At 34.5% G+C, this 15,998-nt stretch overlaps 2 long non-coding RNA genes across 2 annotated transcripts in view; one reads left to right on the forward strand and one right to left on the reverse strand.

Moving 5' to 3' along the window:
* The window catches only part of LINC01515 (long intergenic non-protein coding RNA 1515), a 195,117-nt gene that overhangs the window by 174,064 nt on the left and 5,055 nt on the right, over positions 1–15,998 (forward strand). The gene's annotated exons all lie outside the window — the stretch shown is intronic.
* Positions 93–15,998, reverse strand: part of LOC105378339 (uncharacterized) — a 145,924-nt gene continuing 130,018 nt past the window's right edge. The window contains exons 6-7 of the long non-coding RNA XR_001747476.2: positions 1,260–1,296; positions 93–129 (exon numbers count right to left, since the gene is read on the reverse strand). This is a non-coding gene — a long non-coding RNA (uncharacterized LOC105378339). The remainder of the gene's footprint in view (positions 130–1,259; positions 1,297–15,998) is intronic.

Below are 15,998 nucleotides of genomic sequence, written 5' to 3' on the forward strand. Positions count from 1 at the left end.
GCACACCACACCTGTAGTCCAACTTACTTGGGAAGATGAGGTGGGAGGATCAGAGGAGCCCAGGAGTTCAAGGATGCAGTGAGCTGGGATCATGCCACTGCACTCCTGCATAGTTGACATAGCAAGACCCTGTCTCAAAAAAGAAAATAAAGTAAGTCATGCTATTAAAAAATATAAAATGTATTAAGCTAACTCACCAGATAAAGAATGGAAGAAATCAGTTGAAACCTAAGAAATAATTAATGTCATTCAAAGATAATTGGTGAGAGTCAAGATAATTTCTAATTAATAATTGACATTTTAATAGAAGCAGATACAGTAAAAAAATAAATTTAGAAATAAGATTTTATTCAAAGGAAGCATATTTTGACTTTAAAAGGCTAAACTCTGTCAGAATGTATTATTGTTGAGTGAAACAACAATTAAATTTCATTGTAGACTTAAGGAAAATTATTACATAAATATCATGCTAGTTCTGATGAATCCACTTTTCAGATGCTTTGCTTTACACTAATTGGCTTATGTTTGCCTAAGGATTATGTTTGAATGCCATCACAGTAATCTTGCTTATTCTTGTATTTATACACACAATATATTTTTCATACATATTAATGCTATGAATGAAATAAACTGTGTCATTGCTATTGGCAAAATTGTGTGAGAAAAAGAAATCTCGAAGGAGCATTTTTCAGACCACATTAATATTTTCCTGTGTCTGTCTCATTCTCCATTTGTATACAAATATAAAAATGTAGCTTTGAAGGTGATTTCTCTACTCAGGCAATGATTTTCCCAAATATCCTGAAATCACATGTTACCAAAATTCATATTCACTAATTGTTCTTTTTCTACTCTCCATACTTGCATATTTGTCTTTTGTGAAGTATTACAAATAACATATGACATATGATTATTATTATTTAGAATGTTCAGGTAAAACTTTTAATGATCATCTACAACCACTCCATATTCATCAAATACTAGTTACATGATCTTGCAGATTTAAAAAATCCAATATCGTTTAATTGTTAACAGTGACTAGTTATTCTTTTTAATATTTTCTTGTATTCATTATTGCAAATTCACCTAACACAGGTATTATGGAGGTGATAATTAAGTTTGGAAGATTGATTTTACTTTCATGACATCTAAGCATATAGTCAACAATGTTGTTAATTGAGATAAAGTAAGCATAATGATTAGAAACTCAAGTATTTAAACCAGTAATCATTCTCAGCTACCAATATTGTCAGACTTACTGTTGATGTTTCAGTGCATATGTCAGACTCATATCACCTGCAAGGTAATTTTAAAGTAAAACTGGTGAGGATTTAGATAATTATACGTTGATGAACATTTTCATAAAGTCTGATACAAAAAGTAAAAACAAATGAGGATGTAGTTTGTTTCTGTTATTCTTGAAACAGCAAGACAGAGAAACGATACTCTTCATAGGGCTACATATATATATATTTTAAGACAGAATCTCTCTCTGTTGCCCAGGCTGGAGTACAGTGAAGTAATTTTGGCTCATTGCAACCTCTGCCTCCTGGGCTCAAGTGATTCTCCCACCTCAGCCTCCCAAGTAGCTGGAACTACAGGTGCATGCCAGTATTGTATTTTTTTGGAGACACGCCTGGCTAATTTTTGTATTTTTAATGGAGACACAGTTTCACCATGTTGGCTGGGGTAGTCTCCAATACCTAACCTCAGATGATTTGCCTGCCTCAGCCTCCCAAAATTCTGGGATTACAGACATGAGCCACCGCACCTGGCCCATAGACAATATTTTTTTGACTTGCATGAAACCAAAAACACATATAAGACAGCGCACAGCAAAAATTAGAGTGTACTAACTCAAAACTTTCATGGATTTGATTCTTTGATAATCCATCTCTAAAATATTTTCAAAAAGTATCTCATTTATGGGTCCAGAATACTTGCCTGAGTGCTCTCTCAAAGACATCTGATCTTTTTCCATGTGTGACCTCTGACAAGCTCATGCATGAAACCTAAACCACTGTCAGATTCAAATCAATTTAATTTAATACTACGTTTTTGGAAAGAGGAAAGTATAAATGTTTCATGTATGAATATTGTATATCAAATATACAAAATCATCAACTGATTACCAAAAATATCAACTTATGCCTGGTAGGGTTGAGTAGAGAGATTCAGAAATAGCCATAGAGAAACATTTTATAAGATATTCAACTTAAAAAAATCACTGCAGTTATTAATTACTCCAAAACAAATGTGATCATTTCTAAAAAATTGGAAACTAATAGGATTACAGAAATTTTAATCCACTACAGAGTGTTTAATACACATATATTCTGAGCCTATCAAATCAGCTATATACTAAGAACACATTTGTGTGAGTGTGTATATTTTTATACATAACTTTAACAAATATAGAAGTATTTTTATAGCCAAATTATTACTCTGTTTTGAAGGAAGTAATTTTTTTGGACTACATTATCCAATTATATTGCAATTGTTTAAACTTTGCTAATGGAAAATTTCTTTCAAGTTTCAGTAGGGCACAATATTTAGATTGAGTTCAATATCGATTATGATTATTATTGAATGAATATTTCATTTGAAAATAGCCAAGACATTTAAAACAGAAACAAGTCTGGTAGAATATCAGATATTACAGAATTCTCTATATCATACTATAAATACTAAGTTTGTCCTAAGAGCAATGTGAACTGACCAAAATGTTTCAAGTGAGAAAACTGTAGAATAATTAAATTGCATTGTTCAATAATGATTCTTTCTGGAATGAGGGGACATAATTAAAGAAGATAATGATTTGCATGAGTAATTATACTGAATGAAACTAGTGTGAGATCATTGATGATTGAAGAAGTTGATTTGAGAATTATTAAAATTTTTAAAAATTAATTTTTTTTGAGGCAGTGACTCGCTCTGTGACCCAGGCTGGAATGCAGTGGCACTATCTCAGCTCACTGCAACCTCTGCCTCCCGGGTTCAAGTGATTCTCCTTCCTCAGCCTCCCGAGTAGCTGGTATTACAGGCACACTCCACCATGCCCAGCTAATTTTTGTATTTTTAGTAGATACGGGGTTTCACCATATTGGCCAGGCTGGCCTTGAACTCTTGACCTCAAGTGATTCACCTGCCTTGGCTTCCCAAAGTGCGGGGATTACAGGCGTGAGCCACTGCACCTGGCCTAAAATTTGTATTTTTAGTTGACAATAATTGTATATCTGAGAATTTTAATTGACACAACTCAGTGACCTACTATAAGTAGTTGGTGAAAGAAAAGGACTTACATATTTCTGGATGGAGCAACTATGTAAATGATGGCAGCTCTCATGAGATAGATAATATTGGAATAGAAAAACATTTGAGTAATATAACGTGTCATTTATTTCAAATATATTAAGTTTGAAGTGTGTAGTATGCAATTTAATAGTGAATCTGAAACTCAAAAATTGTTTACAGTTGGTGTTAAAAATTCAAAGTTGTCAGAATACGGTTGATGGTGGAAATTGCTGGAGTCAGTTGGTTCACTGGGGGATATAAAGACTGAGAAAAGATAATTACTTAGAGTATATAGAATCTCAAACATCTGATGATTACTCAAAGAAAGAACAAGCAAATCAGACTGATAAGGAGTTGTCAGAGAGGTGAAGGAAGACATTGAGATTATGCCATTGTAGAAGCCAGAGAAAGATGGCTCAAGATTTTTTTTTAATCAAATGGTGCTGAAATCTAGTAAAAGTTGTCTTACAATTACTTTTCAATAGAAGCTTTTAGTAGAATAACTAGATTTGAAGCCAAAGAGGTGTCTTGAGAATACGGTGGAGATGAGAAACTGAAGACAATGAACAAATGAACCATTAAATATGTCAAAGAGTTTCTAAAGAAGAAGAAACAGATAAGGCAGTAAAAGATGTATTAAAAATATGTGAGACAGAAGTTTTTTCAAAACATGGATTTTACTTGAGTCTGCATAAATGCTGCATAAATTAATATGTAGAGGGAAAAAGATGGGGGGGATAGAAGAAAGAGAAAACTGAAATTAGGGAAACATTCCAGAGCATAGGAAGACCTGGTATTGAGAAGACAGCTGGGGGAGGGTCTTTATTTAGGAACAAAATGCAAATCAGTGACTTATCTCATAACATATATGAAATTATTCCAGATAAAAAAATTAAATGTAAATAGAAAATATATTTACATACCAAAAGAAAATATTGATAAATATTTAAATGATTTTTAATGAAAAAACTTGATGTAATGGTTTTTAAAAGAATCAATAGATTTGACTGTATAAACTATAATCTATAATATGTCACAAATGCCATAAACATAATTCAAAATAAGTAGTAAAATGAGAAAAAAATGCTAGGTATATGAATGCTACTAATATAATATCAGAGTAGATATTAGAATGTATCTTGTAAATAAGGGCCACATGTGATGATAAAACCAGAAACAAATGAAAAAACAAGGTTCGTGGGAAGAAAATGAATGCCTAGAATGTAGAAAGCAATAAGAGAAAGATGTTTAGACTTAATGAGAAAAAAAATGGATAATCTACCAAAATAGACATTTTTTAAAACTCATCAGTGATGAGGTCACAATAAAACCAGGTATGTTGTTCGCAAATTTCCAAGTTCATACATTTCCTAGTTCACACACACACACACACACACACACATATATGTCTCATATATATATACCTGAATGTATATAATATATATATTTCTATCTCTCTCACTGTCTATCCAAATATCTATATCCTCATTATTTGCCAAGCCCATTTTTGAAGATTTTCCTACTCACTAAAATTTTTTTGTGAAAACAAAATTAATACTTGCTGCACTTTCACAGTCATTGATGGACATGTGCAGATTGGCAAAAATGTATTACCCAAAGTACAGGTTGCCTACTGAGGTCAAACCAGGAGATGCTCTGCCTTCTTGTTTTAGTTCTTACACTATAAACAAGTGTCCTTTTGGAATTCTACTTAGTGCCATACCTATTACATTTTTATACTTTGGTGATTTGGTTGTTTAGAATGACCCACAAACATAGTGTTGAAGTGGAAGGCTGAGATGTGCCTAGTAGAGAGTATATGTTTGTTAGATAGATAAGATTCATTCAGGTGTGACACATAGTGCCGTTGGCCATCAGTTCAATATTAATGAACTCTCTCTCTCTCTACATATATATATATACATATATATATATATACATATATACATATATATATATATATACATATATATATATATACATATATACATATATATATATATATACATATATATATATATAATTTTTTTTTTTTTTTGAGACAGAGTCTCGCTCTGTCATCCAGGCTGGAATGCAGTGGCACGATCTCGGCTCATTGCAACCTCTGCTTCCCGGGTTCAAGTGATTCTCATGCCTCAGCCTCCTGAGTACCCGGAACTACAGGCACCTGCCACCACACCTGGCTAATTTTTGTATTTTTAGTAGACCTGGGGTTTTGCCTTATTGGCCAGGCTGGTCTTGAACTCTTGACCTTGTGATCCACCCATCTTGGCCTCCCAAAGTGCTGGGATTACAGGTGTGGGCCACCGTGACTGGCCAACATTATGTATTTTAAAAGATGTCTTCAAATAGAAACACACATAAAATAAGGCCATTTATGAATCAGTTGAAAATAAATATAAAATCTGGTTATATGAAAATATAACCAGAGCTCTCAGGGCCCTAACCCTGTGTTTCCCTTAGGAACAATGGTTTAGTATTTGCAAATTCAGTGTTTGCAGCAACTTTATATTTCCTAACTACCATGAATAATAAAAAATGACTCTAAATAGAATCATGTGTCACTTAACAATGAGGTTACTTTCTGAGAAATATGTCCTTAGGTGATTTCATCACTGGGTAAACATCACAGAGTGCACTTACACAAGCCTAGATGGTATGGCCTCCTACACACCTAGGCTATGTGGTATAACCTATTACTTCTAGGCTGCAAACCTGTACAGCATGTTACTCTACTTCACACTGTAGGCAATTGTAACAAAATAGTATTTGTAGTATCCAAACATATCTAAACATGGAAAACACACAGTAGAAATAAAATATTATAATCCTATGGAACCACTGTCATATACGCTGTCCATTGTTAACTGAAACACCTTCATGTGTTGCATGACTGTAGGTGACTGGTAGCTAGCTAGCTAGATTGGTAGCTAGATACATATATGTTCATACATAAAATAGTGAAGATACAGGTGTTTTATTATTTTTATATCTTTTAACTTTCTACAAGGAGCTGTAATATATTGACTAACACTCAACAGTTTACCTGATTAAAAAAATGTGTTTGTGATTGTGTATGTTATGCAATCATATGAATGTGTTTGGATATGTTTTTGACTGTTTTCCTTACAAAAAAATTGTAATTTTTCTTTGTTCTCGAATTTCTGTTTTAGCACAAGATTATTGATGATTTCTGTTTCAGAATTGATCTGTGGTTTTCAAAGTATGTTCCCTGAACCAGGCATCAGGATCATCTAGAAAGTTGTCAGAACATTCTCAAGCCTCACCCCAGACTTAGTAATTCAGAATTTCTGGGTGTGGGGCCAAGCAATACATGTTTTAACAAAACTCCAGGTTATTTTGACACATGCAAAAGTTTGAGAACCACTGGTAGGAATCACTGAATTGGCCACACAGATATCTGGCAACATTCTGTTACCACAATTTAAAAGAAGAATTGTAATTTTAGTGGAATGGTAGACTTTTGTCTATTGAATATTTAAATCCTTTATTTGACAACATTTTAAATAAAAATATGATGACATCCTCAGAAAATGCTAGTCATATCTCAACTATATGTTTCTGAAAATCAATTTTTTTCTTTCTTTTATTGCAGCTAGAATTATCAGGAGATAGTTCTTTTAAAACTATATGTAGACTCCTTTAGTCAATAATACATAATGACATACCATCTGTACAATAATGCAACATGTCACATACACAATACAAACCCACACCTATGTACAAGCATGAAACTCTTCTTATTTGGGCTATTTGATGGCAGGCATTGCCTCTGGCTAGTAATTTCCAAAATATTTATTTGTAGCAAACTTTATTTTGCTACAAGAAAAATATAAAAACTATTGTATAAGCTACTTTTCAAGGACAATCTTATATAAACTCATTAATACAGCATGCTTTATTTTGTGAGGATCCTTGCATGTGATATGAATTCTAGTTCATTTCTATTCTACAAACATTGCTAATAAGGGATTTAGAACAAGGAGATCAGAATAACTGTAAATGTTGAGAACAACAGTTCAGACACTCAAGAATACTAACAACTACAAAATATTTTCAGATTTAAAAACAAACCTACATTTAAGAGCTTCTAATAAGAATATAATTTTAAAGTCTTGGCATTTTCCTGAAAGAACACTGATTAAAATAAAATACATCAGAATCTGCTTAAGTACAGTGCAACTACTTTAGATAACCAACAGTAACTTATTTTTAACTAATTTTAAAACTATTTTATATGTTTTTCGCAATTTTCATCATGCCACTGGCAAGTTATATGATGAAGCCAAACCTCAGCAGCTTCTTGGGCTAAAATCAATAAGCCAGGGATCTTTTGTGACTTTCTCCGGGTTTTAAAAATGTCTTATGAAGGATCATCAGCCTCAAGTCTAGACACCTCTAAAGGACTTATTTTCTTAAAATGTCTGCACACAGACCTAAAGGTAGAAAAAGACCTGGTGTAAATAAGAGCTGTTGGAGTTAAACCGATAAAGTCTAAGGTTGCAGTAAGCATGATGATAACCCTTGTCAATGTTTTGCAAGATTATTTACCTTTCTCTCCTGGAATTCTTTCATAGGCAAGGAAATAAAGATTCAGTTTGCTGGTGATAAGTAGGTCACCAAGAATTTAACGAAACCAAAAGCTGGGAATTGAGGAAAGGAGAAGCTGTGTGCTGAGTTTACAGTACAAGAAGCTGTGGTTTTGCCCAAGTTTTAGTATTTCCAATTTGAAACCAAATAACAGAAAATTTGGTATTTACAAATGCTACCCATGTTTCACTGTGTTATTGAGATGGCTCAGTTATTTTATTAAGTGGATCACTTCAATCCAGTTAAAGAACACTCTTCTACGGTTTTACTGCTTTAGATTATTTATCATCAGGATTTCTCAGAGCTTCAGATCTACCTAGAATGTTTCTGGGCTTGCATTTCTATGAATCATAACTCACACATATTTATAATTCATAAAACCTGCCAGGAACTGATCTGTCAAGTAAACATTTTCTGAATTTCATTATGCATATAAAGGACAGACTCATAATATGAGTAGAAAACAAAATTGTTATCTCCAGAAGATACCTAGACACATTTTAATTCATTTGAAGGAAACTTGCTGTTACAGTAGAACTAGAACAAATGGTTCATACAAAATTACCTACTTGCTTAGGTACAGTGCAGTAACTATTTCAGGTGACTAGGAGAACTTCAAGCAAGTTTTTGTTCTGGAAAACTCAAATGGCCAGAGAATACAGTCATATGTCCCATGTTGACATTTCAATTGAAAATGGACAGCATGTATGACAGTGGTCCCATCAGATTCAAATACCATATTTCTATGTCCCTTTTCTGTGTTTAGATATGTTTACATACATACTTACAATTATGTTATGATTGCCTGCCATATTTAGTACAGTAACATGTTCTACAGGTTTGAAGCCTAGGAGCGATAGGCTCTATTATATAGCCTAGATGTGTAGTAGGTTATGCCATCTAGGTTTGCATAAGTATACTCTGTGATATTTGCACAGTGATGAAATCGCCTAAGGATGCATTTCTCAGAAAGTATCCCCATCATTAAGCAATGCATGATTGTACAGCTATGCTAATTAGAATGGTCCAATAAGTCAAATTGACCTGAAAGTCATTAGTAAGAATATGAAGTGATGCAGCTTTCCAGAGTATTTCTTACTAACACTATCAGATTTTTAACATATTTCAGGATGATGCATAGCTAGGGCAAGTAAGAATTGGGAGAGGGGGAGGAATAAGATATAGAAACATCTTCAAAAATGAAAGTATTTTATGTAATTTCTTTTCCAGAGTCCCTAATGTATTAGGGAATAACCTAAGTGAGCTGATTAAGCTCATTAAAAATACTACTAGCAATGAATGACAGATTTAAAGGTTTTACATTAATTCCTAATTTTTTGATAAGTTGTCCTCATATTTGCGTACATATTTTCTTTTTCTTGTCTTAGAACACTATTAAGTTCAAGAACATTTTCATCAGCACAAAAGGAAACTCCATATCCTCTAACCAGTCATTCTCCATTTCTCCCTCCCACTAGCTCCTGGAAATCACTGATTTGTTTTTAGTCTCTATTGATCAACCTATTCCAGATATTTCATATGGAACAATATGAAATATATTGTTTCAAATGGAACAATATAATATGTGATCTTTTTTGTCTGGCTACTTTCAAGTAGCATACTTTCAAGCTTCATTCATGTAGTAGTATGTATGAGTACTTTTTCTCTCTTTATTGCCAAATTCCATTTTATTTTTCCATTTACTGTTGATTAACACTTGGGTTGCTTTCCACTTTTGGCTATTGGAAATAGTGCAGCCATGAACACATGTAAAAATTTTTGTTTGAGTACTTGTTAATTCTTTTGCTTATATACCCAGGAGTTGTATTGTACAGTTATATAGTAATTCTATATTTGGCATTTGAAACTGCCAAACTATTTTCCACAGTGGCTGTCCCATTTTACATTCCCACAAGCAATGTACAAGTCTTCCAATATCTCCATAATTTTGGTTAACATTTTAAAATTTTGGTTCAGTTTATTATTTAGTTATATCATTGTTTACTCACTTATGTATTTCAGAGACAGGGTCTCGTTCTCTTTTCCAGGCTGGGGTGCAGTGACACAATCATGGCTAACTGCTGCCTTGAACTTCTGGGCTCAAGCAGTCCTCCACCTTCAGTCTTCCCGGTAGCTAAGACTACAGGCATGCACCCCACCATGCCCAGCTAACTGTTCAATTTTTTGTAGAGCTAGGTGTTCGCTACGTTGTCCAGGCTGGTTTCAAAATACCAACCTCATGTGATCCCCTCACCTTGGTCTCCCAAAGTTTTGAGATTACAGGCATGAGCCACTGCACCTGGCCTATTTTCTTTTATTATGGTCATCTGTACCAGTGTGAATTGATATCCCATTGTGGTGTTGACTTGTATTTCCCTGACTAATAATATTGAGCTTCTTTTCAAGTACTTGTTTGCAACTTTTAAATATTCTTTGGAGAAAGGTTTATTCGGATTCTTTGTTCATTTTAAATTCTGATTGCTTTTGCTCTTCTTGAGTTTAAGAGTTCTGCTTATATTGTGAGTTCTAATCCCTTATCAGATATATAATTTGCAAATACATTCTTCCATTATGTAGGCTGTTGTTTCACTTTGTTTATAGTTTTCTTTGATGCACTAAAAAGTATAATTTTCATAAAGCTCAACATATCTCTTTTTTTCCTTACTTGTGTTTTTGATGTGATTTATAAGAAACCGTCATCAAGTCCTATTTATGAAGATTCACCACGGTGTTTGCTTCTAAAAATTGTAGGATTTTAGCTATTATATTTGCCCCTTATATCAATTGTGAGTTGCTTTTTGTGTGTGAATTGAAGTAAGGGTCTAAGTTCATTCTTTTGCATGTTGATACCTATTTGTTCCAACACCATTTGTTGAAAAGACAATTATCTCCCCATTGAATGATCTTGGCAACCTTGACAGAAATTATTGTAGATATATGGGTTTGTTTCTGCATACTCAATTATATATATCAATATATGCAATTTTTATGCTAATATCAAACATGATTATTGTAGCTTTTTTGTTTTTATTTTTCAAAAATTTTTAGAAGTGAGGTTTCGCTATGTTGCCCAGGCTGGTTTCAAATGCCTGGGCTCGAGCAAACCTCTTGCCTCAGCCTTCCAAAGTACTGGAATTATAGGTGCGAGCCACCACATCTGGTGATTATTGTAACTTTACAGGAAGTTTTGAAATTAGGAAATGTGAGTCTTCCAACATCATTCTTTTTTCAAGATTGTTTTGGCTATTTGGAGGAAGAAGCTGTTGGAATTGTGACAGAAGAGTGAATTGAATGTGTAGATAACTTTTAGTAGTACTGCCTTTTTTACAATATTCATCTTACAATCCATGAACACATAATAGCTTTCCATTTATTTGGGTCTTATTTCACTTCTTCTAAAATATTTTGTAGTTTTGAATTTACATATCTTGTACCACCACAATTATATTTATTCCCAAGTATTTTACTCTGGTGTTATTATAAATGAACTGTTTTCTTTCTTGATAAATGTATAGAAATATAACTAGATTTTGAATGTTAATCTAGTATTCTAAATCTTTGCTAAATTATTCGCTTAGCTGTAATAGTTTTTTTTGTGTGTGTGGGTCCTTTAGGATTTTCTATATGTAAGATCATGTCTTCTGCAAAAAGAGGAATTTTACTTCTTCTTTTCCAGTATGGATCCTTTTTATTTATTTATTTATTTATTTATTTATTTATTTATTTATTGCTTGCCTAATTTCTCTGGCTAGAACCTTCAGTACAACACTGAGCAACAGTAAAGAAAGTGAGATGCTTCTCTTATTCCTGATCATAGGGAGTCTTTCACCGTTGAATATAACGTTAGCTTTGAGTTATTCATAAATACTCATCATTTTGCAGAAATGTCTCTTTTTCTACATTTTTCAGTTTTTTTTTAAATCATAAAAGGAATTTTATCATATACTTTTACTGTGTCAATTGGGACAATTATGTGAGTTTTTTTTTTCTTTCATTCGGTTAATACGATGTATACCATTGATTGATTTTCACATGTTTAACCACTCTTGCATTCCTGGATAAACCTCATTTTTTCGTGGTGAACAATTCTCTAAATATGCTATGGATTCAGTTTGCTAGTGTTATGTTGAAGATTTCTGCATCTATCTTCATAAAGGATATTGGTCTATTGTTTTCTTTCTTTTGTGCTATCTTTTCCTGACTTTGTTATCAGTAATGCTGATCTTATAGAATGAGTCAGGAAATGCTTTTACTTTTTTTTTAATTTGTTGGAAGAATTTGAAAAGCATTATTGTCAAATCTTTTAAATATCTCTAGTATAATTCACTAGTGAAACAATCTGGCTCATTTCTTTGTCGGGAGGTTTTTTATTAATGAATTATTCTCTTTACTCTTTATAAGTCTGCTCAAATTTCCAATTTACTTGTGAAATAGTTTTGAAAATCTGTATGTTGTCAGGAATTTATCCATTTTGTCTAGTTTTTCTAATTTGTTGCCATACAATTGTTCATTGTATTTTCTCAAAATTCTTTTTATTTTTGTAAATTCAGTAGTAATATTTTCTCTTTCATTTTTGTTTTACTTATTAGTGTCTTATTTGTAGCCAGTCTAGCTAAATGTTTGTCAATTTTATTGATCATTTTTTTTAGCTCTTTAAAGTATAGAGTTAGGTTATTTATCTGCCATTTTTTAAAAAATGAATACATTTATAGCTACATACTATACTCTGAGCACTTCTCAGAGGAATTAAATAATGGTGTAGAGAAAATCTTGAATAATTTTATCAATAAATTTCAATCTTTTATTGAACCTCTTTTCAAGGACTGGGGACTTCACATGCGTTTCTTTGCTTTTTCATTTTTTGACTCTTCTCCCCACCTTAGGTGAGACAGGAAGGTTAGAGATGGGTAATTTTAATGACAGTTATCTCTGTGGTCCTGACTCCATATTATGTAACTTCGAAGGATTCTTATGATTTGCACATGGCTGTCATGAAACTGACTCCCAGTTTACTCCTTGCTGTAGTCTGAGTTCCCTGAATCTCAGCTGATAGATGTAAGGCAGACAGAAAATCATCCAGAGAAGTGTCAAAAAAAAAAAAAAATTGGGGAAAGAGAACTTCAGAAAATAAGAAACATTAAAAGTGCCAAATATAATGGAAACATAAAGAAAATCATATTCTAATAGCTTGGTCACTGGAATGCACATATATAAAAAGAATGTTTTTGAGGGCTTTCAAGAGAGTGTAGTGTTGGATACACAGAAGGTGTTCATACTGCTATTTAGTTTGATGAAATAAATGCGTCTTCTTTAAAAAAAATGTTAGATTTGAAGAAATTAGTCTTCTCCACTTTTAAGTGTGAACATTTCCACAGTATTCACTAATTTATCTCTCATTTCTTCTAAAGTAAAAGAATTAAAAGAAAAACAATGTCTTAAAAAAGCAAATCAAATAGGGCGTAGACAAATAATCCATCATAATTCAAAATAAATGATTGTTATTTCTTCCATTTAAAAAAAGTTACCAAAAAGTATTTTGAAAGATAGTATCCTGACATTGAAAAATGATTGTGTTCATTTGTTTTCAAATGCGGCATCAGTTCAATTGAAAATATGCTATGAAACGCTGTGTAAACACAGTCAGAATGTATTTAAATTTTTTTTCAGTACCAATGCTTAAGAATATTAAATTACATTTCCTACTAGGTTTGGCACATTTCAAAATCTTTACAGATGCCTATACATGTGATCTCATGCCTATACTTTTCATTGTCATAAATCAAAAAGTTAGTGGTACAAGTAATTTTAGAAAACACCATGATCTATTATAAGTTTTAATTTGTACAGCCCTCATTTAACCTTTGTGTTCATATACTGACTGGATTCAAACTCAAATAACAATGAAATTCCTCAATTCTAGGATGTAAAAAGAAGCAAATTCTGTAGCTATTCCCCTAAGGATGCCAGGGTGACAGAGAAGATACGTTATAATTGACATTAATTGGCGCTCCTGATTTCTGTGTTGTATCTTTATACTAATGTGTGCAGGAGAGCTGGATAGTCTGTTTTCACACTGCTGATAAAGACATACCTGAGACTGGGAAGAAGAACAGGTTTAATTGGACTTACAGTTCCACATGGCTGGGGAGGCCTCAGAATCATGGCAGGAGCCTAAAGGCACTTCTTACATGGCAGCAGCAAGAGAAAAATGAGGAAGACGCAAAAGCGGAAACCCCTGATAAAACCATGAGAACTCATGAGATTTATTCACTGCCATGAGAACAGTGTGGGGGAAACCACCCCCATGATTCAAATGTTCTCCCACTGAGTCCCTCCCACAATGCATGGGAATTATGGAAGTACAATTCAAGATGAGATTTGGGTGGGACACAGAGCCAAACCATATCATTCCACCCCTGGCCCTTCCAAATCTCATGTCTTCACATATCAAAGCCAATCATGCCTTTCCAACAGTCCCCCAAAGTCTTAACTCCTTTCGTCTTTAACCCAAAAGTCAACAGTTTAAAGTTTCATCTGAGACAAAGCAAATCTCTTTCGCCTATGAGCCTGTAAAATCAAAAGCAAGCTAGTTACTTCCCAGATACAATGGGTGTACAGGTACTGGGTAAATACAGCTATTCCAGATGGGAGACATTGGCCAAAACAAAGGGGTTACAGGGCCTATGCAAGTTCGAAATCCAGCAAGGAAGTCAAATTTCAGAGCTCCAAAGTGATGCTCTCCTTTGACTCCAGGTCTCACATCCAGGTCACACTAATACAAGAGGTGGGTTCCCATGCTCTTGGGTATCTCTGCACCTGTGGCTTTGCAGGATACAGCCTCCCTCCAGGCTGCTTTCACCAGCTGGCATTGAGTGTCTGCGGCTTTTCCAGGCGCGTGGTGCAAGCTGTCTGCGGATCTACTATTCTGGGGTCTGCAGGACGGTGGCATTCTTCTCACAGCTCCACTAGGCAGTGCCCCAGTAGGGACTCTGTGTGGAGGCCCCAACCTTACATTTCCCTTCCACACTGCCCTAGCAGAGGATCTCCATGAGGGCCCCGCCCCTGTAGCAAACTTGCCTGGGCATCCAGGTGTTTCCATACATCTTCTGAAATCTAGGCGGAGGTTCCCAAACCTCAATTCTTGACCTGTGCACCCACAGGCCCAACATCACGTGGAAGCTGCCAAGACTTGGGGCTTCCACCATCTGAAGCCACAGCCCGAGCTCTATGTTGGCCCCTTTCAACCACGGCTGGAGTGGCCGGGACACAGGGCACAAACTCCCTAGGCTACACATAGCCTGGGGACCCTGGGCCTGGCCCACAAAACCACCTTTTCCTCCTGGGCCTGTGGGCCTGTGATAGGAGGGGCTACCATGAAGGTCTCTGACATGGCCTGGAGACATTTTCCCCACGGTCTTGAGTATCAATATTAGACTCCTTGCTACTTATGCAAATTTCTGCAGCTGGCTGGAATTTCTCCTCAAAAAATTGATTTTTCTTTTCTACTGCATCATCAGGCTGCAAATTTTCTGAACTTTTATGCTCTGTTTCCCTTTAAAATGGAATGCTTTTAACAGTACCTGAGTTACCTTGTGAATGTTTTTTGCTGCTTAGAAATTTCTTCCACCAGATACCCTAAATCAACTCTCTTTGGTCCAAAGTTCCACAAATCTCTAGGACAGCGGCAAAATGTCACCAGTCTCTTGGCTAAAACATAACAAGAGTCACTATTGCTCCAGTTCCCAACAAGTTCCTTATCTCCATATGAGACCACTTCAGCCTGGACCTTATTGTTCATATCACTATTGGCATTTTTGTCAAAGCCATTCAACAAGTCTCTAGGAGGTTCCAAACTTTCCCACATTTTCCTGTCTTCTTCTGAGCCCTCCAAACTGTTCCAACTTCTGCCTGTTACCCAGTTCCAAAGTCGCTTGCATATTTTCAGGTATCTTCAGCAACGCCCCACTCTAGTGGTATCAGTTTACTGTATTAGTCTGTTTTTGTGTTGCTGATAAAGACATACCTGAGACTGGGAAGAAAAAGAGGTTTAATTGGATTTACAGTTCTGCATGGCTGGGGAGGCCTCAGAATTA

The sequence above is a fragment of the Homo sapiens genome, chromosome 10 (genome assembly GCF_000001405.40).
Source record: "Homo sapiens chromosome 10, GRCh38.p14 Primary Assembly".
In the NCBI taxonomy this organism is placed as follows: Eukaryota; Metazoa; Chordata; class Mammalia; order Primates; family Hominidae; genus Homo; species Homo sapiens.